The 25,134-nt window shown below is 41.3% G+C and overlaps 2 long non-coding RNA genes across 2 annotated transcripts in view, besides 1 other annotated feature; both read right to left on the bottom strand.

Annotated features, from left to right (window-relative positions):
* Positions 1-20,519, bottom strand: part of LOC102723838 (uncharacterized) — a 31,547-nt gene extending 11,028 nt beyond the window's left edge. Inside the window, exon 1 of the long non-coding RNA NR_135076.1 lies at positions 20,406-20,519. This is a non-coding gene — a long non-coding RNA (uncharacterized LOC102723838). The remainder of the gene's footprint in view (positions 1-20,405) is intronic.
* Positions 1,987-21,083, bottom strand: LOC124902740 (uncharacterized). The gene is made up of 2 exons (XR_007062865.1): positions 21,009-21,083; positions 1,987-2,166 (listed from the first exon to the last, which is right to left on the bottom strand). It is a non-coding gene; the product is annotated as an uncharacterized LOC124902740 (long non-coding RNA).
* Positions 10,824-10,873: a silencer, noted in NCBI's record as "silent region_3862". NCBI's record gives its function as "represses an Ori minimal core promoter by ATAC-STARR-seq in GM12878 lymphoblastoid cells {active_cell/tissue: GM12878}" and the evidence as "EXISTENCE:reporter gene assay evidence [ECO:0000049][PMID:35858748]".
* Positions 21,084-25,134: the final 4,051 nt, after the last annotated feature.

Genomic DNA, 25,134 nt, shown 5'->3' with positions numbered 1-25,134 from the left:
AAAAGTTTGCTACCCCACTAAAATTTAGATAGCCCCACTCTGGCCCTCCTATAACCACTTCCCCCCCTCACTCAGGACAGGAGTCTGTATGGGTCCAAAGGGCTGTTCTTCCCAGAGCCTGTGTCCTCCCTACTTACAGACAACACTCCTGGAACACCCAGCCCAAAGAATCTGAGTCTGCTTCCAGACCCATGAAGCCACCAGGCTGCCAAGGCTCATTCTTAAGCCTTAGAGGAGGCCAAAAGGCAGATGTTTTCATGAGGATAGGACATAGCTTAGACATGCAGGCTGGGCTATTCACAGATGTGTGTGAGGATCTTTAGGTTGGAGGAGAGGAAACAGGAAGACAGCCAAAAACCTGTACTTCTGCTCTTGCCCTGAACCTCACAAGTGTTACGACAAGCCTGCTTAGGATGCAATACTTTAAAATTCCCTTGCATGGTAGCTAAGGCTCTTCATGATATAGTACTTGTGGACACTGCACTCAAGACAAGTGTGAACTAGGCTGACTCTTCATACACCATGCTGTTTTATCAGCTCCCATGTACTGGCCTTCCTTTCATTGCCCATTCTCCTAGTGGAATCTTCTCATCTTCAAGACTCAACTCAAGGGTCAACTTCTCCATGAAGCCTTTCCTACTCTCTTATAACTGAAACGCAGGTTCAGTTGCTCACTGCTTGCAGAGTCCAATGAACAAGAGCAAGGTCTGGTATAAAAAAAGTAACTTTTATTCCAAAGCTAGTTTAAGGGAAGAAGTATAGGCTTCCTGTCTTAATGTTATTGCTTTGCTTTTGGAGCAAAAAGCGGACACTTTAAAAGCCAGGGGAGGAAGCAAGCAGGCAGGGAGGGTCCATGTGATAGCTTGGTACCTGATCTATCAGGCAGTTGAGTTGGCATCTTCATAGGCAGAAATAGGTTGTAAAGGTGGCTGAAAACTCTCCAGGTGGGAGAGCATTTCCTGGCGGGACTTTGGGTTATAACTCAACAGTTATCTCTCAAGGCAGCCTCCTGGTGGATGAGAGGCTATAATTGCATTTCTAAAGAGCTAAGTAGGAAGCAGGAGAAAGGAAGAAAGAGAAAATAAGAGAGAGAGAGAAAATAATTAAACTATCTCTTAGAAAAGTAGGGGTTATGGGTTACATTTCTCTCATAATCTCCCATCTTTTCTCCTCATTTAGTCTTAGTAGCCTCAATGCCCCTATGAAAATATCTATCTGAGCACCTGTGACACTATTATACCTAGTTCATTGTGTCTGTTTTCCTCCATTAGGCTAGACTCTCATTGAGGACAAACACTTGGTCTAATTTGTCTCTATAACCTAGTCAGTGTAGTTGAATATACACATAATATATCCTCAATGACTGTTGAAAAAATTTATGAATAAATGAATATGTATGATCAGTAAACCTTACCACATCCTGGGATCCCTTCTTAAAGTATATAGATACTTATATACGCCAAGTGACCATGGGGTCCCATTTTTGTCCATACTAAATTAGAATCAAACTAGAGTCATAGAACTATAAGGGAGCAAAATTTTATCTCTACTCCCTGGGGTTTTTCAGCTGGGTCTGAGAATTAAGTTGACATAAGACAGATCAACAGAAGAAAAGCACGCAAATTTGTTTAATACAAGTGTTATGTAGCACAGGAGTCTTCATGAGGAAATGAGCACCCAAAGTCACAGTTAGAGTTGAACACTTATATTCTGAATTTAACAAAAAAAATTCAAAAACTTATGAAAATGTGACAAAGTTAAAGGGCTTGATCTAGGGTAGTTAACGGGGTAGAAAAGAAACTAGGAAGATAAGGGTTAGTTTAACAAGGTTTGATTGTACAGATTTCCCTCCCTATATTTTGCTTCAACTTCCCTTCCTCAATGATAAGAATAACGTTTCCTTCTGGTATAGGGAAAACACCTTTCACATGGGAATTTCATCTCCTGCTTTCAAGAGATAGAAAGAAAGAGTGATCTTGCACCTGCTGTTTTTCAAGTACCTTTATTTCATAATAGTCAATATGCCAGAGGAGCATATTTTGAGGCAGCATGTTTTTAACTCCTTTATTTCTCCCATCTGAAACTTCCCTAGAAGTTTCATACATTAAAAGCTGAGCAGGTGGCGGTGGAGAGAAAAACTGGGTTAGTAGCTGAGTGGCAAGAGATCTGCAAAGGGAGAGAAGAACATAGATTACAAGTATGAATCATCAGGAAAGAACAAATCTAAGGACATTTCATCATATCCCATTAAGCCAGTCTCCCATCCCTAGAAATAGGTCAGTCCATTAAAATCGTGAGCCTCATTTATCTGATGGGGAGAATTAATATTTATCTTGCCCTTTAAATGGTGCCAATTAAACACTATTTGTCCTAAGTTCTTTACATAGAAGCAGCTTTCTTCACCAATGATCAAGCAAGCTCCTCCTAGTCTGACTGTTAGTGAATCTAGTCCCTGACAATTTTGGAGTGAAATAGCATGATCACAGCTCACTGCAGCCTTGAACTCCTGGGCTCTAGCATAAATTTAACTTCTGATTGGAGTGCTTCCAATGTTTGCATAGTAATACTGAACTCTTGTGCATTACTATAGAAAGACTTAGAATGGCCTTTTCCAAAAAGTAAGTTCCAAAGCCCAGGAACAAGATCTCAATACTGAAGAGAACTTAGAATTGTGATATACAAATGAGTTTTCCATAATGTCACTTCTGGTACATTTGTGTGGCACTACTTTGTCAACAGCTGAGCCCACACTTGTAATCTGACTGGCATTTAAAGTGGAGTATCTGGCAATGGGAGGCATCGGATATTCGAGTCTGCATCATCCTGACCATATAGATGGGAATACCATATATACTTTGTTGCCACATAAGATAAAAAGACCAGTGTTGTTCATGGATGAGGTTAGAGTGGAACTTGTGACCCACCAGTCTGGGGTTTGTTATGTTTTGACACATGTCATGTTGGCATCTGCACATCCCCATCTTCCTATGTCCCTGTTAGTCTGTAGGAGCAGAACTGCTGCAGAATACCTGATATAGGAGTCCTGCAGTTTGGCTTTGGCAGCTATAAGGTGTGGTTTTGTCATCTGACCAAGTTAATCTACATCTTTGGTTTATTCATATATAATCTTTGGTTTTTGGAAGCCCAGTTAGGGGCTGAACTACCCTGCGTTGCACAGGGCTGGCTTGTAGGCCAGCTATGACATCCAGTGATTTGACAAGTGCTTGTATCACAAGAGTCAGTGCCAGGACCATCTGTGACCTTCATGAGAGGTTGAAGATGTCACCTATAGAACAAACCACAGGATTTGGTTCCAGTATACCCTTGGTATGTCACCCAGGAAGGGTCCAGCACCACGATTATTTTCCATACAAAGGAAAAAATGTCCCTTTAATGACTTACTTGAGCAAAGGAGAGCCTTCAAGCTTCACAGAGATTTTTCTCTATCAAATTAACTCACCAAAAGAAGTAGAAAGATATTATTTTCTTTTCTCTTTTTTTCTTTGAGACAGGGTCTCACTCTGTCACCCACGCTGGAGTGCAGTGGCATAATCACAGCTCATGATAGCCTCAGCCTCCTGGGCTCAAGCAATCTTCCCACCTCAGCCTCCCGAGTAGCTGGGACTACAGGAACAGAACACCACACCCAGCTAACTTTTTGCATATTTTTGTGGAGATGGGGTCTCACCATGTTGCCCAGGCTGGTCTTGAACTCCACTCGCTTAAACCTCCCAAACTGCTGGGATTACAGGTGTGAGCCACTGTGTCCAGTGATATTATTTTCTTGGTCATGGATACCATACCCTGTCATACATCCATTTGCCAAGTTGGTCCACCAGGCACTTGCACTGGCAGAAATTAGTTAGGTTATTTTGCATAATCTGGATGGCACTGGCATAACCAGCAATCAGATTAGTTAATGTGGCCAAGTTTGGAAAACTGGTGTAAGGGGAGTTAGGTCTGCACTTAACCTGTTGAGAAAACTGTCAGGGTTAATAAAAGAGAGACACAGTTTCAAAAAAAGGTCATAGTGGAGGATCGGAGGGCCAATCGAAGAGACAGAGACAATAATCTCCACAGTCAGCCCTTAAATAAAAGGCCAATAAGTCAACACGATGGAGGGATTGGTGAACAGGTCTGTTCATAGGTAGTCTGTGGTGAAGGAAGAGGGTTTGTTTGTTGTTTTCTGATCTCTTGTTGTTTTTATATTTATTGAATTTGAGAGGCTGAAAAGAGGAAGAAAATATTAATAGGTGTAAGCAAAGTTGCTTGATCTGTGATCTTGGGAAAAACTGTCTACTTCATGATATTGTTTGCTTCCTGGGCCTGGGTCTCGACTCTGGAAATCCTTACTTAAAGGTCACCTGTAGGGATGGTCTTCCAATTGCCCTGGGAGTGGTAATCTGGGTCTGGTTTGGCATGACTTGCACGAATCCAGGAGGATTTTTCTTTTATTTTGATAGCAGTGTAGGTGGTCAGTGGTACTTTGCAAGGACATTCCCAGTTAGGTGACAGCGTATGTTTTCTTCTAAAAGCCTTGATGTACTCTGATTTCCCAGTCAAAAGGTTTATAGTAAGGTCTGTCAGTCAGCACAAGCCATGCCCCTTTTACCTGTTGATGATATGCTCTAAATGTAATAGGGTCTGTGTATATCTAGTCATAGCGTCAAATTGTTCACTGAAGTCCCTGTAATGTTCATTCAATCCAGAAATGGAAGGTTTAGAGCTGCCAGTAGGCATGGGGCAACCAAACACTATTTCAAAAGAGGTTAATCCATGTCTTCTATTTGGAGTATTCTAGATTTTTATAAGGGGTAATGGTTTTGTTTTTGTATGTTTGTTTGTTTGTTTGCTTGTTTTTATGGAGTCTCGCCCTGTCTGGAATGCAGTGGCGCGATCTCAGCTCACTGCAACCTCCACCTGCCGGATTTAAGCAATTCTCCTGCCTCAGCCTCCCAAGAAGCTGGGATTTCAGAGACAGGGTTTCACCATGCTGGCCAGACTGGTCTCAAACTCCTGACCTCAAGTGATCTGCCTAGCTCGGCCTCCCAAAGTGCTGGGATTACAGTGCTGAGCCACCGCACCCTGCGCATTTTTTTTTTACAAGGTGTAATGCTTTCAGCCAATTAAGTCCAATTTCTTGACAGACTTGTCCTAAAGTTACTTTTGTGTCTCAGTGTTTACATTCCACTTGCTCTGAGGATTGGGAATGATATAGGGTATTAAATTTCAATGAATATCCTAGAACTTTTGCAAACAACTGTTTTATTTCTGCTGTAAAATAAGTTCCAGTGGTCTGATTGAATCTATAATAGAACATCCAAATGAAGAATGATCTGTTATTTATTATTTATTAATTGATTAATTTATTTTTGAGACAGAGTCTTGCTCTGTCTCCCAGGCTGGAATGCAATGGCACGATCTCAGCTCACTGCAACCTCCATCTCCCAGGCTCAAGTTTCCTGCCTCACCCTCCCAAGAAGCTAGGACTACAGGCATGCACCACCACACCAGGCAAATTTTTGTATTTTTTGTGAAGATGGGGTTCTGCCATGTTGGCCAGGCTGGTATCGAACTCCTGACCCAGATGATCCACCTGCCTCAGCCTCCCATAGTGTTGGGATTAAAGGCATGCGCCACCAGACCAGGGTAATTTTTGTATTTTTTGTACAGATGGGGTTCTACAATGTTGGCCAGGCTGGTATCAAACTCCTGACCCCAAATCATCCACCTGCCTCAGCCTCCCAAAGTGCTGGGATTACAGGCGTGAGCCACCACGCCTGACCTGTTATTAATTTCTTTACCACTGTCATGGTGTCAGCACATCTAGTCAGATAGCGTTCAATCCATCCACTAAACATACAGACAACAATCAAACAGTAAGAAGAGCCTAAAGCCTAATGTCTTAGAGGACTTGCTGAGGCACGTTGGTCTCCTCCAAAAATCTGATGGGATTTATTAGAAGTGCACTGAGAATAATTCAGTTAGAAATTTTGTAAATACCAAGGCAAAACCAATTATCTTTTCATTCCTTAACTATCCTCTGTCTGTACATATGTCCCATCTGAAGGGAGATAAGTGCTTCAAGCCAAGAAGTTAAAAAAAGGGGGGCCACAGGAACTCCATTGGCCCCATGTATAATACACCTGATAATTATCTGACATTCTTTTGTATTCATTTGTGGGTTTTTTGTTTGTTTGTTTGTTTGTTTGTCGCACTGTGCCCATTCTCTGGTAATCAATAACACCAGTAAGCAATAAAGGCAGGTTAATAAAGGGTGGAAAAGAATAGGAGGGTTCTTTGGGGCTGCATTCTTAGTGGCCTTCTCCACCCTCTCGTTCCCTAGAGATATACTATCAGTCTCCTTAGGGTGAGCTGAACAATGAGCAATAGCAATTTGAATAGGGAGGTGAACAGCCTGTAATAGAGCAGCAATTATATGCTAATTGGAAATAGGATTATCAGCAGAAGTTAAGAATCTGCTGGACTTCCAGATTGCCAATAGTGTGGCAGACACCCAAAGCATATCTGGAGTCAGGGTAAATAGTGGCAATTTTTCCTTTTGCCATTACACCAGCTCTAGCAAGATCTATACATTCGGCAGCTTGGGCTGACTTTACAGTGGACAAAGAGGATGCCTGAAGTGTTTCACAAGGGAAAACTATGGCTTCACAGTTATGTTTCCTGGAAATGTCATCCACAGAAGCCATTACAAAATAGAAATAAGTCTGGATTGTCTAAAGGAGTATCTAGGAGGTCTTCTTGTGGCTTTGAGACCTTTTCTATAGCTGCAAGGCAAACATATTGAATGGAGTGAGGCTCTCCATCATCAGGCAGGGGCAGTAGAGCAGCTGGATTTAAAGTGTTACAACAATGCAACATGATGGAGGAGCTGGTAAACAGGGCCTGTGCATAGGTGGCCTGCCATCTGGAGAAAGGTGCTGTATCTTATGAACTTGTAAGAGAACAGGCAGCATGGGGAACATATGGATGAATGAAGGAGTGTAATATCAGAATATGCTGGCTTTGTCAATTATTAGGGTGGTAGCTGTGGCTACTGCACATCGGCATGGGGGTCCAATTGACATGAGAAATATGCTACAGGGTGTATCAGAGAGGCAAAAAAATTGTTCCAAATATCTGCAGCAATCCCATTGTGTCATGGTGAGATGGGCGAAAAGGTCTGTCAAAATCAGGTTAGCTGAGAGCAGGGGATGTGGATGTTAATTTTAAGGCTCCGGAGGAGATTTATGGATCTGCAGGCCAAGAAAATGGGCTCAGAATTAATATCTGGGAGGAGGGTATAAAGGAGCTTAGCAAAGGCAACAAAATTAGGAATATATTGGTGGCAATAACTAGCTGCTCCTAGAAATTTACATAGATGTTTTTTTGGGAGGGGAATGCACAAAACTGACTCTAGGCATTTTGGGGCGAGCTTTTGAGTGCTCTGAGATATGACAACCTAGCAATTCAATCCTACATAAGTAACAGTTATTTGCACCCACTGAAGTTTAGGTTGGAAGGCTTTATGGCCTCTGTTGAGCTAGTGCCTTTAGGAAAATGAGGGAGTCTGGAAGAGTGGGTTGCTTAGTTCAGTAACAAACTAAAAGATCATATCGGAATAATGAACAAGAGTAGAGCCTTGGGTAAAGGACACAGAGTCTAAGCTGACTTTAAGGACTCGGGAAAACACTGAAAAGGACTCATGGTATCCCTGACCTATATGAGTTCATGTTCATTTTCTCCCTCTAAATGTGAATGTAAAGAGAAATTTTGAGTCAGGGCGCAATGGAATTGAACAGAAAATTGAGCAGATGTCAATCATTGTAAATCAGGCTGTATCAGCAGAAATTGAAGTAGAAATGTCAGCTGGATTAGGGACTAAGGGGTGGTGAAAAATCACAAAGGAGTTTATGGGCTCTTAGATCTTGTACAAATCAATAGATTTTATTCCTGTCTGAATCAAATGTTCCTTATTTCTTTACTGGCAAGATTAAGGTATTACAGAGTAAGGAAGGAAATAAAGACAAGAACACCCTCTGTAAAAGACAGTCTATTATAAGTTTGTTGACCTAAAAGGAAGAAGCTGAGGCAAAATTAAAGAGTTTTTCTGTGCCAAGGCTGAGGATTGCAGCCTGATTCCAGGTTGCCTTGGCAAGCCTTTGGGAGAACAAAGGAAAGGCTCAAGTTTTTAAAGAAAAAGGACGAATCAGGAGAGGGAGTGATTACAAAATACGTTCATCAAGAATTCTCACTGATTTACAGAAACACATTGGTTAGTGATTGTCTATACGTTGTTAAACTATAGGGTATATGACATCTTATGGCTGTATGGCATCAGTTAGTCTATAGCTCATATAGCACATATAGCTTCAAGAGGTAATTCTTTAGCTCAAGGGCGAATGAAACCTGACTGCTGTTATATTATAAATACCTCTCTGGGCCTGATAATTTAAAGGAGTTTGCATTCCTTAGATAAAAAGGGTTTTTTTTTTTTCTTTCTTTCTCAGGTTTAATTTCTTGCTCTGCATTTTGTGAGAGGGCATACTGAGCTACTATCAGGAAAGATTTATTCTTTTCCAGGCAATAACTACAGGCTCCACACACAGTAGCAATTCAATCTCATTGGCATGTGAGGCTGGGAGATGAGTTGAGACATCTTTAAAGGTTGCTTCCTCTTCAGAGGATTTAAAATCAAGATGAATTTCCATTAGGGAAAGGAGGAAGTCTAAGGCCAGGGAAATAAAAATGCTTCTCTCTTTACATTGTATAACACATCTCCACCTAACAGGTTTGTTGGTGAGGACTCAGAAACTAGAAAACCTTGACTGAAAACACTCCCACAGGGTTGACAAGCATTGCATATTGGTTTCTAGAGAAATACAATTATAATTCAGCATTAATCAGGCTGCACTTTGGCCCACTTCCTTGTTGCTGAAAGGCACATAGCACTAGAATCTGAGCATCTGCAGATGTAACCACATTGTTCCTCTGGATAGGATTGCTGACATTAGGGTTGTAAGACTGTTTAAGAGTTGATTTGCATCCCCATTATTCCTACAGACAGGATCTCTGACATAAGAATCATACGTTTTGTTTCATACCCTGAATTCCAGCATAGAGGAATGGGATCAGCATGAAAATACAGCTTCTTCAACTCCCATGTCATTAGTTTACCCTGTACCCTTCAACCAATCAACAATCTCCACACTTTGGCCTACTCCAAAATCCTTAAAAACCCTAACCCCAAAATCCTCAGGGAGGTGGATTTGAGGTTTCCTCTCATCTCCTCGTTTGGTGGCCCTACAATTAAACCTCTTTCTCTGCTGCCCCCAATATGTGTCTCCGCATATTGATTTGCTGTATACATTGGGCAATGAATCTATTAGAGTTACATGATGGGTGTTAAGAAGGCCTAAGGGTATTGCAGTGGCCTGATACATGGGCAATGAAATACGTTGCCCAGAAACTCCAATAGCTTGAATAGAAGCAGAGGTGACAGGGAGAGAGATCCTCTGAGCAGATGGTAGGGACAGTTGCACCAGTGGCAATTAAGTATTACAGTTCCCAGCTGGCCCTGTGGCCCATGTCTATAGTCTGAGGCTGAGACAGGAGGATTGCTTGAGCCCAGGAGTCCAGTCTGTGCAACATAGCTAGAGTTTGTCTCTTATAAAAAAAGAAAGAGAATTTCAGTTCCCAATCCTCTACTGTAAGTTTAATAGTGGGATCTAGGGGGTGACTGAAAATTAGCTGACCCCATCAATCGATGGGGTATTGTCCCACAGAAGAGAGAAAGCTGACCTTGTGAAGGTGCTGGGGTCTAGGGAGATTGTTATTTAAGCTTTCCTTTCTCATAAGTCTAGGACAGCTGTTTTTCCAATGCCCTTGTTTTTTACAATATCTGCAAACATCTGAAGACAAAGCTCTGTGGTTGGGGAGAAAGGTGAGTGGGTTTTGAGTTTTCCCTGGAGTTATGATTTTGTTTTTGTAAAGAATCAATTTTCAAAGCAAGTACTATTGACTTTAATCCGTTTTTCCTCTTATTTTCCTGCAAGTTATTTTTAAAGAATTGCATAGCTCCTTCTATAATAACATTCAGAGAATGACCTGTCCAGCCAATGACACTATTTTGGATTTGCCTCTTTGTATCAGGGTGATTTCTAACCAAGGCAGAATTTAAAAATTGTTCATGTCCTAGGGCTTCAGAATTTAATGCAGTGAACCTTTCAAAAGTTTGTATAAATCATTCCATATAGGCCTTAAGATGTTCCCCTTTCTTCTGAGTACATAATTCAACCCTAGACCACTTCACCTTAGAGGAAAAGGCCTCTAATATTGTCCCTATCAGGCCCCATAACTCAGCCATTTCCTGGTCAATTGTAGGAGGACCTGGGAGAAGTTCTGGCCACTTATTCCCTCTAGAGGTAAGACATTCATTTGGGGGCTTTCTGGAATGTCTGATAACCACAGTATAATCATGGGTGTAAAGAACACCCCTTAGTAGCCAGTGGAGGTTCCTATGAATGGGGTTATAAATGGCCACTAATCTTTCTAACTCCTCTCTAAATTTGATAGGCTCTTTCAAAAGTGGAGACAAAAGGGCTTTGTAATTTAGAAGATCTGTTTCTGTCCAAGGGACATGAATTCTTTGCAGTAGGGATCCAGGATATATTCACAGGAGGCATTGTATAGGAAGGTCTGTGGCTGAGGAGTCTGATTACAGAACACCAGGAAGTAGGAGGAGTTGTAAGGTACAGCAAAGCAAGACTAGCTGCACGTACCAGGGCCTGTGCCAGGTTTATTTTCTGGCTGTCAGCATTGACACAAGTGACCTGTATACTCTGAGCCTAGAGATCAGGCTGGAGTGCTCTCTGAAAATTTTGCAAGGAAAGGAAAGATAAAGCAGGCAGTTGATGTTTAAAGGATTTTCTAGGGAAGCTGGAGTTTTAGAACTTACATAAAAATTTGTGGAGGAGGTGGGACTGGATTTGGAGGAGAGTTTAAGCCAGTGGCCCAGAGATCAAAAGATCTTCTGGAGGATCAGGGACTGGAAGTTGGAGATAAAGGGGTATATAGGAACTGAAATTGTCTCCTTGCAAGTTTCACCCATTGTTCTTGGAATACATGTTTGCCTTCTTCACATGAGAGATTCCATATTTTTCAGAGAAAAAGATCTCATACTTCTCCCACCCTGAACCACTTTTCCAAGCTCCGTTCCTCCAATTCTTACTAACATGTTCCTAGACCTTTCACCATCTCCTTACATGCCCTGTTCTCAACATCCTTCTGATATTGAACAAAATATTCAAGAAGAGCTGTGAAACAGATGAGTACAACATAATTGAAACTGATAGCCTTAGGCCTATTCTAACAGTGTAAACATTTCAGAGCTCAGGGAATCCCTAAAGATGATCTAGTCTAAGCCCTTTACTTCACAAATGAAGAAACTGAAGTTAATTACTCATCAGAGCAAGGCACAAGACAGGCTCCTGGTCCAGTAGATAGTCAGGAGTGGACCCAAGCCTGGAATTTCAAGTTAATTATCTTATTCTATTTGAATTCTTATTCTGATGCAACACGGAAAACCCCCTGTTAGATCTGCAAGATCTAGCTCCCTGCCAAAGACTATTTATTCTCTCTAAAGAGATGATGAAATTATTTTAGAAAGAGGGCCAAATGTCCTATTTGAGAGGAATAATTTATAGTCATTTTATCTGTTTCTCATGAATTATCAGCTTCTTGGTAGCCTTTTAAAGAAAGGGTTAATAAAATAGTTTACAACTTGTTAAAAGAGCTATAGAAAATTATATTAAGTTCTTATATAAACTCTTTGTATGATACTTAAATTTTTTAGGTCAAACATAAACTGAATCTCAGTAAAAATTATAAGACAGAGGCAATTCAGCTTAAACCATAAGTGGTCCATGTCATACATCTTTTATCTCCTATAGAGAGAAAAATAAACTTAAGACTAATTTTTTAGAACAAGAAAGGATAACCCATTTGCATCCCTATTTATCACTTCCTTTCACTGTGTTCACTTTTTTCAGGAAAAAGTAAACCAAATCAAGTAGAAAATGTCAAATTTTTAGTGAAGACATTTAAACACTTCAAAAGGGTGAGCAGTTACATTCCTTTTAAAGAATTCTATCTTAATATTGATGAGAGAATAGTTAAAAAAGGATCATAAGGCCTCCTTTGCATGTAATATGTATAACGTATAGTGAGACAATTTGTAAATAATCTAGTGAAAAACTGGTTTTACTAATCTGTTTCCCTAAAATAAATCTGCCTATTTGTAATTGAGAACTTCCTGGAAAATGAACAATAAACACATAAAAGTTTTACTTTTATGTGCATTACAAACTTCGGCTGTCAACAATTTGCACAAATTATTTTGGGAAGAATCTTCTTATATACTCTTCCCTCTGAAAGACTGGTAATTTAAAATAGGAAAATGCACAATCATACAGTGTTAGAATTGCATTAGAGAGTCACATAGAGACCACTCTAGATTTTTTTTTTTTTTTTTGAGATGGAGTCTCACTCTTGTGGCCCAGGCTGGAGTGCAGTGGTGCAATCTCGGCTCACTGCAACCTCCGCCTCCTGGGTTCAAGCAATTCTCCTGCCTCAGCCTCCCGAGTAGCTGGGATTACAGGCATGCGCCACCATGCCCGGCTAATTTTTGTGGTTTTAGTAGGGATAGGGTTTCACCATGTTGGCCAGGCTGGTCTCGAACTCCTGACCTCAGATGATCCACCCGCTTCGGCCTCCCAGTGTGTTAGGATTACAGGCATGAGCCACTGCAGCTGGCCCACTCTAGATTTTTATCTTGAGAATTGCAGATAACCCTATTGGGTCAGTTTTCTTACACTGTAATCATCCTCACTTTTGATACTTCCATCTACTTCAGTGGTTTTCAAAGTGTGGTCTGGTAGCATAGACAACACCTGAGGACTGGTTAGAAATGCAAATTTTCAAGTCTCACATTAGACCTACTGAATCAGAAACTCTGGCGGAGGGGGCAGCCCCCATATTTTCATAGGTCTGCCAGGAGATTCTGATGCATGTCAAAGTTTGAGGATCAATGCTAGTCCTCTATAGCAATCCACCACATTTTGTTCCTTTATCCTTCCAAAGTTTTTACCCTTACAGGAACTATATCACCCCATAGAGATAAGAAAGGAAAAAGCAGCCCCTGACAACTGAAAGCTGGCCTGGCACTCATATTTAGGCCTTGGTGTGGAACATAAACAGTTTCACTGAACATTAACGTCAGACCAGAGCACTCTGTGATCATGACAAAAACAAGAGCACTCCATCACGATGTCTGAACAGAAAAACAAACATGTCCAAACCACAAAAATAACCAAAATATCCCCCATCCTAGCTAATATGAGAGGATCTTGCCTCTGCCAATTAAAGTTTTAGACTCAGTTTATTCCTGCCCCCTTCAATAAGATTTGTTAAAATACCCAGTCATAAAATTGCCTCTACTCCCTTGATAGCAACCAATCCTGGCAAAGCTCCACTTCTCAGTATCACCTAATACAAGCCCAAATCCTAAAATAAGCCTTTCTCACTCGCTTCTACTAAGATGTCCCAGGATGTGCAATCTGCCTTGCTATAAACGTAACCACCTAATGGGCTTGTTACAGTAGGTAACTAGTCAGACATGAGCAGGGCAGCAGAGGACCCCCCACCCCCAACACCACCGGGAATATCAGGCAACCATCAGGTGATGGTCAGGTGGTTGTTAACCATCTCTCTAAAATGATAATTGGTCACAGCCAGTGCCAGGGGAAAGGCAGTTCCCCAATAGGTAGAAAAAAATCTGAAACTGGTGATCAGCAACTTTCCAATAAGATCTTAGGAACTGAGCAAATGGGTCCAAGCATGTGAACTAAGAGGCAAAATGGTGGAGCTTAACTGCTATAGGACCTTCCTCTAGGAACACTCTACTGGTAAGGGAAGAACGACTTAAGTGAGCATGCGTGCAACTCCAGTAAACACACTGTGTATGCAGCCTCTCCCAAGCACTGGCAGGGCACTGCGCATGTGGAGAGCACGCCCCAAGGTAAGAATCAGGGCAGAAGTAATGCAAGGCCCTGGAAGTATGCCAACATATAAAAGCAAGTCAAAAGGTCAAACCCTGCACTTGATCTTGAAACCGCCTTTGCAAAATTATGACTGAGCCAGTGAAAGAGATCTAACTTAACAGACTCCATCTTGCTTCTAACCTCCAAACCGTCCTTGTTCATTCCTGGGCATGGACTGAACTAACTATGAGAGAAACTTAGTTTATAGTTTATAGTTTAAACAAAGACAGTAACAGCCCTTTCCTAAAGCGGACCTCCTTCTTGCCTGGGGACTAGACTGCCTTTGTAGGACTAATATTAGCCACAAGATTATAAATTATGGTTTAGGAGTCATGCAGCTGGAGGCTACAACATTCTGACCCTCCCTAAACTGCTCCTAAGATCCGTGCTTGAGATGTTTTGCAGACCCTGCACTTGATGGATCAGCTGGCACCACCCAGATCAATAAACTGGCTCATCTGATCTTGTGGTCCCCACCCAGGAATGGACTTAGTACAAGAAGATGGCTTCGACTCCCTATTATTTTCCATCTCTGACCAATCAGCACTCCTGGCTCACTGGCTTCCCCCCATCCACCAAATTATCCTTAAAAACTCTGCTCCCCCAGTGCTCCGAGGGACTGATTTGAGTAATAATAAAACTCTGGTCTTGGCCGGGTGCGGTGGCTCATGCCTGTAATCCCAGCACTTTGAGAGGTCGAGGCAGGAAGATCATCTGAGGTCAGGATTTCGAGACCAGCCTGACTAACATGGAGAAACTCCATCTCTACTAAAAATACAAAATTAGACGGGCGTAGTGGCGCGTGCCTGTAATCCCAGCTACTCGGGAGGCTGAGGCAGGAGAATCGCTTGAACCCGGGAGGCGGACGTTGTGGTGAGCCGAGATCACGCCAGTGCACTCCAGCCTGGGCAACAAGAGTGAAACTCTGTCTCAAAAAAAAAACAAAAACAAAAAACAAAACTCTGGTCCCCCGCACAGGCAGCTCTGTGTGAATTAGTCTTTCTCTATTGCAATTCCCCTGTCTTGATGGATCAGCTCTGTCTAGGCAGCGGGCAAGGTGAACTCCTTGGGCTGTTACAATCTCTCAAGTCACCTGTTTGGCCCTCTTCCAAGTGTACTTTATTTCCTTTCTTTCCTGCTCTTAAGCTTTTTAATAAACTTTCACTCCTGCTCTAAAACCCTCCTTGGTCTCTCACTCTGCCTTATGCCCCTCCGTGGAATTCTTTCTTCTGAGGAGGCAAGAATTGAGGTTGCTGCAGACCCATATGGATTTGCCGCAGCCAACATGCTTTGGTGCCGTGTCACTAGGATACATTCTGCTGCTAACAGGTTCTTCCCGCCCACTGCACAGACAAAACCAATTCACTGTGACCATGACATTGCAATAAAGAAAGAGTTTGACATGATGCTGGCCACCACACATGGGAGACAGAGTTATTACTCAAATCAATTGCCATGAAAATTTGAAGGCCAGGGCTTTTCAAGTATAGTTTGGCAGGCCCTGTTGGTGAGGGTTGGTGGGTCCAGGTAGACCCATTGGTCATCAGAAATGCAAAAACCTGAAAAGACATCTCAAAAGGTCATTCTTACATTCTACAATGATGATGTTATCTGCAGGAGTAATTGGAAAAGTTGCAAATCTGTGACCTCCGGAATAACAGCTGGTAATGTTTGCGTCTATCCCTTAGCCGAATTCAGGCTCCTCACAGCCTCCTAACCTAGTGGCCTTTCATAAGCTTTACCAAGGTGGTTTAGTTTTGGTCAAAGGCTATTATCATTTAAACTGTAAACTAAATGTCTCCCAAAGTTATCTTGGCCTAAGCCCAGGAATGATTAAGGGCAGTTTGAAGGTTAAAGGCAAGTTGAAGATTGGTTAGATCAGATCTCTTTCACTGTCATTTTCTCACTTAAAATTATTGCAAAGTGATTTCACAAACCCAACTTGATCAGTAATAGGTGTGCTCCTGTTGGTCTTTGGCTGGAGGGCATTGACAGAGGATTATTACAGCAGCTCCTGGCCAGTGCTACTTTAGAGCAGTGCCCTTCCATGAACAGCTGGTTCCCAGTCCAAGGCAAGTACAGAAATTAGGAGTTGTCAGAAGAATTGACAGCAATTTGACAAAGTAATTTTATGTCTGTTGGTTGGATCCAAAAATAGAACACTAGGCTTGTGTTTCCCTATGCCAGTTTAAATTTCATTTAGCTAGTAAGTTTTAATTGTATATTACAGATGACCTGCAGTAGATTAAAAAAGAAAGAAAGAGGCGGGGCGTGGTGGCTCACACCTGAGGACTTTGGGAGGCTGAGGCAGGTGGATCACCTGAGGTCAGGAGTTTGAGACCAGCCTGGCCAAAATGCAGAAACCTCGTCTCTACCAAAAATACAAAAATAGCCAGGCATGGTAGCACATGCCTGTAATCTCAGCTACTCGGGAGGCTGAGGCAGGAACCTGGGAGGCATAGGTTGCGGTGAGCCAAGATTGCGCCATTACATTCCAGCCTGGGCAACAAGAAAGAAAGAAAGAAAGAAAGAGAGAGAGGGAAGGAAAGCAAGCAAGCAAGCAAGCAAGCAAGCAAGAGGGAAGGAAGGAAGGAAGGAGAGAGAAAGAGAGAGAAAGAGGCTCCTCATCAGAAATAGTTTGAAAAGCAATGTTGTAAACCGTGTCCTAACACTATCCTATTCTCTAATGCTTTTCTTTCCAACACTGCTATTACATTAAGATTCTTAAAATTCTGCTTTTAATGTGTAACATTCTTCTCAAGCATCTTTAACATTACAATCTCCTCTGTTTTCTAGTTGAAGATGGAGAAAACTAATATATTTTGAGTACCTACCACATGCTATAAATTGTGCAAATCTAAATATACTCCAATACCCATGACTTTATTTTTTTAAATTGTGTTAAATAAATTTTATCGTGTATGTGTATTTAAGGCATACAACATAATGTTGTGGGATACATATAGATAGTAATATGGTTTCTATAGTGAGGCAAATTAACATATCCATCATCTCATGCAGTTACCCATTTGTGTGTGTGTATGTTCACGAGGAGCTAAAATCTACTCATTTAGCAGAATTCCTAAATAAAGTACAATTTTATTAACTATAGACTTCATGTTGTTCATTAGATATCTAGATTTGCTCATCCTACACATCTGCTACTTTGTAAACTCTAACCTACCTGTCTCCATTTCCTCCCTCCTCCCAACCCCTGCCCTTCCCCTGGTAACCACAACCACAGTTTTTTTTCTCTCTGTATATTTGACTTTTTTTTTTTTTAAGATTCCACATGTAAGTGAGATTTTCGCTGGTGGAGGGTGTCAATGCCTGAAGGGTTGAAGATCAGGAGCAATGACTGGATTACAGAATGAAGAGGACTTACTGAACAATTCGCTTCCAAAAGAAAAGGGAGAAGAAGAAATCCAAGAAGACATCAGCACTTTCACCTTTTATGTCTTCTAGGTTTGACAGGGGTCTGCTATTCCACCCTCAATTCAGGTGAGTCTGTTAGCAGCAGTGAATCTGAATCTGTTTGGGTCTGCAGCAACCTCAATTCTTGCCTCCCCAGAACAAAGAATTTGACTGAGGGGCATAAGGCATAAGGACAGATCAAGGCAAGTTTTAAAGCAGATGTGAAAGTGTATTTAAAAGTTTTAGAGCAGGAACAAAAGGAAGTAAAGTATACTTGGAAGAGGCCAAGCAGGTGACTTGAGAGATCAAGTGCGTGGTTTGACCCTCAACTTGGGGTCTTATACGTTGGCATTCCGCATGCGCAGTGACCTGCCAGCACTTGAGAGGGGCCGCTTGTGCACTGTGTTTACTGGAGTTGTACGCATGCTCACTTGAGGCATTCTTCCCTTACCAGTCGAGTGTTCCTAGAAGGTCTTACACCAGTTAAACTCTGCCATTTTGCTGCTTAGTGAACATGCGTGAACCTGCCCGCCCAACTCCATCGGGAAGATGCTGATCACCAGTTTCAGGTGTTTCTACCTATTGGGAGACTGCCTTTCCCTGGCGCTGGCTGCAACAAATTGTTATTTTGCAGAGGCAGTTTAACAACCGCCTGACCATCAACCTGATGGTTGCCAGACATTCCTGATGAAGGGGGGCCTCTCCGGCCCTGTTCATGTCTGCCTAGTTACCTACTGTAACAAGCCTTGGCTCCAGGTCATTTGTGCTTCTCAAGGAAGAAAACCAGAGTTTGCTTTGGTAAATGTCTCCATGGTAAAAGCCAACCTCTTTGACCTTTTTGTGTTTCTGCTTTCACTTACTTTTTAGCCTCTGAAAAATCCTAACTTCCTCATCGATTTACTGAAGTCTTCTTCATTAAATGTCATTTTATATTATACTTTCTCCAGTGTTTTTATGCATTTTCACTGTGGGGTCAGCCAAGAAAAATGACTCACTGACTGGTAGTTCTATTTACTGTTCATCTGGAATTTCACTGTTTTCATTTCAAAAATGTCTTCTTTATTTAGTGTGTTAAAGCAAACTAAACGTGGCCTGAGAAGGACTCCATACCTCTATATTTGAGTCCTTGTGGATGAACTGCTACCTAACTTAATAGGTAGGCAAGATTGAAAACCTAACTTAGGAGTTATGTTCCTGTAACAATCGCTGAGTCTTGGCCAATCCCAGCAGCCATGGCTCAACCAGTCGTTTACTGCTGAGTGTTCAAACTGTGTTCAAATAAGGCAAATGCTGAACTGTAACCAATCCAGCTGTTTCTGTACCTCACTTCCAATTTCTGTACATCACATTACATTTTTGTCTATAAATTTGTTCTGACCGCGAGGCACTCCTATGACAGAGGTACTGTCAGAGGTGCTTGAACCTGAGCAATTGTATCTTAAATAGGGGCTTGATAAGATAACGCTAAGACCTGCTAGCCTACATTCCCAGTAAGTTAAGGCATTCTTAGTCACAGGATGATACAGGAGGTCAGCACAAGATTCAGGTCATAAAGACCTTGCTAATAAAACAGGTTGCATGCAGTAAAGAAGCCTGCTAAATCCCACCAAAACCAAGATGGTGATGAGAGTGACCTCTGGTCATTCTCACTGCTACACTCCCACCAGCACCATGGCACTTTACAAATGCCGTGGGCATGTCAGGAAGTTACCCTACATGGTCTAAAAACAGGAGGCATGAATAATCCACCCCTTGTTTAACATATAATCAAGAAATAACCATAAAAATGGGCAACCAGAGGCCCTCGGGGCTGCTCTGTCTATGGAGTAGCCATTCTCTATTCCTTTACTTTCTTTGAATCTCTTTCGATTTAGGCTAGAAGTCCAATGCACTTATCCATCGCACCACAGAGCCTGCTTGCTATTCCTTTACTTTCTTAATAAACTTACTTTCACTTTGCCGTATGAATTTGCCTTGAATTCTTTCTTGTGTGAGATCCAAGAACCATCTCTGGAGTCTTGATCAGGACCCCATTCCGGTAACAGTACTATTATTTTCCTTATATTACAGTTGAAGAAATGGAAGTTCCAAGAAACTAAGGGACCTAGGCTTGTAGATAGAGGAGAGGACAGATTGAAGGTCATGCTGTCAGGTGGCACAGCAAATGTATAACCAGGAAGATATGCAGCCATGCATCTCTGGGGTCAGCACACACTTGTGTCTCTTGAAGTCATGGGTTTGGTTCCAGGGTGGCTGTTGTTTTTGGCAGCTGTATAGGACACTAAGGACACCCTTGTCAATTGAACTCTCCCTATTTTACCCAAGAGGAAATAAATTTGTGGTTTGTGCTCCACAATTAGAAGTGGCAGAAATAAGATCAGAAGCCTTACCTTCCAACTCTTATCAAGTGTTTATCCACCGTACTACACAGCTTCCTTAATCCTGAAGTCAGACATTTTATTGGTGTTTTATAAACTATCTGAGCAAACCGATGTGGGAGATACACAGATTGTATTATTTATATAGAAATCCAGCAAGCTGAAAATTGTTCTCACCCTGGGTCAGTTTGTTATTGTAACATTTACAATTTACAGCAAGCAATAAAACAAGATAATACAAAACAAAATAATCTGAACAATATGAACCCTGAACGAAGTAACAAATGTCCAGTTAGATTCTATTATAATGCCACCATTATTAGAGCCACTCCAGCTTTCTAGTATGCCAGAGGGCCATGTGAACTAACTGGTTCTACAAGAAAAAAAAAATGTTTTAAGTGTGAGTAAAACTTCCTCCATCTGCTAAGGCATACTGATCTTCTGTAAACAGGTACAATAAAATATAATATAAATAAAAGCCAAGGCTTCCCTGAATGAGAGTGTGAATTATCACCTCCCATTTTCAGCTCATCTCACCAGTCTCTTGTGTCTCAGGCACCAGCAAGCCACCTGTTGGTCCTTCCCAACAAGGCTATGCAGGAGGACAGGTCTCTGGATGACCTTGACCCACCCAGATTTCTTACAGAATGCACTGAGAATATGACATCCTGACATAAGGAAAAAGGCCCGGAACCACCGGGCTATATTCTGCAACACTTGAGCTCAGCAAGCCCCTTTGCACCCAGGATATAAAAGCCCAGGGTGGTGTGCTTTCGGTGTCCTTAGCTGTATTGTGACATGGGGTCTGTGCAGATAAGACTCCACCCCACTCTGGACGGCTTTCCTGAGCTCTGGAGGACCAGCTTGTCAGGGATCCTAGGCTTTGGTTTATCCTTGCTGCTTATCTGTGAGTATTAAATCTGTTTGCCTAACTTGGTATGTATGAGTGTTCTATCCCACCAGACTCATACAAGTGGTAGAGAACCTTTGCAGGCTAACCCTTATTAACAAGAGTGAAGATCAGGCCTTGAAACAGATTCAAATCCGGACACACTACCTCTAAGACTCGGGTACTCACATGTTCTAGCTAAGTATCTAAGTACTCCACTTAACCCACCTGCGATAAACTTGAGGTTACACAAGGAAGGAAACCTGCCATGTTCACTTTTGTCTCGCTACCACCTACCACAGCCCTAATGCATACTAGGAGGACAATACCTATCTTTGGAATGCTGTCACATTAGATAATAAAGGACTCAATGAGTTAATGGATGTCATGGTGACTAAAAATCAGGGATAGAATGGTTCACATGTAGCGTATTCCTCCTGTGGTCACAGACAATGTCTGTGTGGAAACATTAGAAGATTTCAGTTCATCTCAAACCCCAGATAAACCACTAGTGAGATATGGCTGATAAAAATGGCACAGCCTTAAGATTGACTTAACAGGAGTATGGTGCTCAGAAGAAAGAAGGTTAATAGGGGAGTCTTCACTCCTGTGTCACTTCCCAGGCATTCTAAATGCTGTGCTCAATCTAATGGGAGCTGGTCCTTCTTTTGTCCTTTCTCTTCACATTGTTTATCTTCCACTTCGAAGAAGGCTTTCCACCCCAACTTTTCTCTCTCTACCATCCTTCTTGGAGTTCTTTCTGGTTCCACAATAACAGTCCCCACACTCTCAACTTATATCTGTTTCCCTGGAATCCCTATTACAATGCTATAGCACTTACCTTTTTGCTTAATCTTTTAGCTATTTATATACACATCTTCTTCAACACTGCAAAGCACTGCTCAAAAGAAAGCAATTTTCATTATCTTTTGTTAGATTTGCTCCATGTATGTTTTATATCTATTACTTCTCTTTGCATCATTAGATTGTAACCTCTGCATTTCTTTGTAAATTACATGTTGCCCCTAGCTAGTTGTTCTGAACAAAGAACAAATGTTGCTAATCTGGTGATCTACAAGCCATAATAAGAGGAAGCTGACATGTTAGAAAGGAACAAGAACATACACTCCAAGACAGGAATGAGGTTTTGAAACATCCCTTAGTATATAACTACATACATGTATTTTCTAGTTACATTATTTTCATGTCCACAACTTGGTAAGCAACTCAGGATATAAGCAGATAATTCCCGGAAAGGAAATAAAAATGGCTAATAAACATAGGCAAAGATGTTCCATCTCAGTGATTAAGAAGGGAAGTTCAAATTAAACAAAATGAGACACCGTCATTTGCCCATCACATTGCCAAAAAGTATCATCACATTTATGTTAGTAAAAATCAGAAATAACTGAAATATCTGTCAAAAGTGAAATGCTAAAATGAATTACATCCATGCTCTGAATACTTCGTAGCCATCACAATGAAACATATACATTTGTGTATACATATGGAAAAATGATTATGACATACTGTCAAATTTTTTAAAAGCAAGTTGAAAAGCATGTATTTTCGGGAAAAACCCATATGTTCTATGTTTCTATGTTCATATAAATACATATTCAAATATCTACGTAATTGTAGGTGCAAAACCTAAAACTAAAACAAAGACACAAACAGAAACAAAGGTCTGGAAAGAAAAACACTCAAGTGCTAACTGTGGTTACCCCTAGGGAAGTAAAACAGGAAGGATTTTTTCTTTTTATTTTAGATACTTCTGTGCATTTTTTTGTTCAAAACTAAAGTAATACTTTTGACTTTCTTTGAAACGAAAAATAAAACCAATAAAATTTGTAGTCATAAAAGTAGTTATAAAATGTTTTAACTATTCTAGACAACAGTGACCCAACTTCAGGAACTGCCTGCATGAGTAGTCTAAGTATTCTTTATAACTCTATGCTTGCAAAATTATTTACACATATTTGTGTCAGTTACAGAAATCTGAAGCCCTATGTGGTAGCCTAGAAGAGTTGTTTCTATATTGCAGATGAGGCAAGAAAGAAACAAAAAGAAAACAAAATTTAATACTTTATAAATTGACAACCCAGGGACAGGGCCCTCAGAAATAATTTACCTGATTCTTGTTTTATGTTAGGGATCAGACATTCAAATGCAAGTATTAGAAATTAAGAAGCCAGCTGGGAATAAAACAATACGGAGAGTACAGAGAGTTCAAATACTGCATAAAGGGAGCAGCCATTTCATAACTCCTGTTGAAAGGATCGGTCTGGTATTACCAGATTGTTCAATGTTTCCAGAGAAACCAGGAATCAGAATTTTTATATCGATACTCTCGGGTTTTAAATTTTAGCAACCAAGTTTTTAAAATCCTAAATGCTGTGTTGATAAACACTGTGAAAGCCACACAAAACTTAACTCCCGGCTGGATGTGGCCTGCAGCCTCCTGTTTGCTATTTTGGGTTTTCCCATCTTTGAAGCATTCTAGTGGACAAATTCTAACACAAAAGTCCCCAACCTTTTTGGCACCAGGGACCAGTTTTGTGGAAGACAATTTTTCCATGGAGAGGTGGGGGATGGTTTCAGGATGAAACTGTTCCACCTCAAATCAGGCATTAGATGCTCATAAGGAGTGCACAACCTAGATCCCTCATGTGTGCAGTTCACAATAGGGTTCGTGCTCCTATGAGAAGGTAATGCTGCAGCTGATCTGACAGGAGGCAGAGTTCAGGCGGTAATGGCTCGCCCACTGCCACCTCCTGCTGCGCCGCCCGGTTCCTGACAGGCCACGAACAGGTAATGGTCTGCGACCCAGGGACTGCGGACCCCTATTTTAACACATCCTTCAAGACTCAGATCAATTCCCTCTTCTTACAGTAGCCCTTTGCCTGTGGTATTATAGACTATTAGAATTCAAAGGCAGGTGGATTGCCTGAGCTCAGGAGTTCAAGATCAGCCTGGGCAACATGGCGAAACCCCATGTCTACCAATAATTATATATATATATTAGAGTTCAAAGATATTTCAGAAATATCTTATTAAATCTCTCATTTGTTGTAGTAAGATATATAACATAAAATTTGCCATATTAACCAATTTTAAGTACACAATTTAGTGGCATTAATTACAGATGCAATGTTGTGCAACCACCACCACTAGCTATTTCCAAAAATTTTCTGTCACTCCAAACAGAAGCTCTGTACCCATTAAACAATAACTTCAATTATTGCCTCCCCCAGTCCCAGACAACTTCTAATCTACTTTGTTTCTGACTTTGCTTATTCTAGGCACCTAACATAAATGGAATGATTCAATATATTTCCTTTTGTGTCTGGCTTATTTCAGTTAGCATAATGTTTTCGAGGTTCATCCATGTTGTAGCATGTATCAGAACATCATTTTTTCATGGCTCATTAATATCCCATTATATGTGAATACCACAATATCACATTTTCTTTCTTTTTTTTTTTTTTTGAGACGGAGTCTTGCTCTGTTGCCCAGGCTGGAGTGCAGTGGCGCGATCTCAGCTCACTGCAAGTTCCACCTCCCGGGTTCACGCCATTCTCCTGCCTCAGCCTCCCAAGTAGCTGGGACTATAGGCACCCACCATCACACCCAACTAATTTTTTGTATTTTTAGTTGAGATGGCGTTTCACTGTGTTAGACAGGATGGTCTCGATCTCCTGACCTCATGATCCACCCGCCTCAGCCTCCCAAAGTGCTGGGATTACAGACGTGAGCCACTGCGACCGGCCCACATTTTCTTTATCCGTTCATCTTCTGATGGACAATTGAGTTGTTTTTACCTTTTGGAGATTGTGGGTCACGCTTAAAACATTTGTGTACAAGTATGTGTTTGAATCTCTGCTTTTGATTCTATACCTACGAGAATTACTGGGCAGGGTATACTGGGTATACTGGGTATTACTGGGTAATGTATACTGGGTAATTCTATATTTAACTTTTTGAGGAACAACCAAACTGTTTTCATAGTGACTGTACATTTTACATTCCCATCATCAATGTATGTAAAATGCTCATTTTTAAGACGAAGAACCCATGGGCAACGCCAGTGAGACAGCTCAATCATAGACACAGGAAGTCAGCTGCAATGCACAGCTGACATCAGAAACCAGGTATCTTGACTCTCAGTGTAGACACAGCCCTCTTTCCAAGGTTAAATCCATTAAAATTTAAACCAGATGATTAGGCAAATGGCTGGAATGTTTACGCAAAGACCTGGTCGCTACAAATAGATCACTTGATATGTTTAGAAGAAAGAATTTGAGTAAGTTCTAGACTTTTTTCTCCATCATGGAATATGGTTTTCTTTTACCCT

This window comes from Homo sapiens, chromosome 11, assembly GCF_000001405.40.
Source record: "Homo sapiens chromosome 11, GRCh38.p14 Primary Assembly".
NCBI classification, from domain to species: Eukaryota; Metazoa; Chordata; class Mammalia; order Primates; family Hominidae; genus Homo; species Homo sapiens.
The sequence above is the reverse complement of the archived record's forward strand: the minus strand, read 5'-3'. Positions and strand labels throughout refer to the sequence as shown.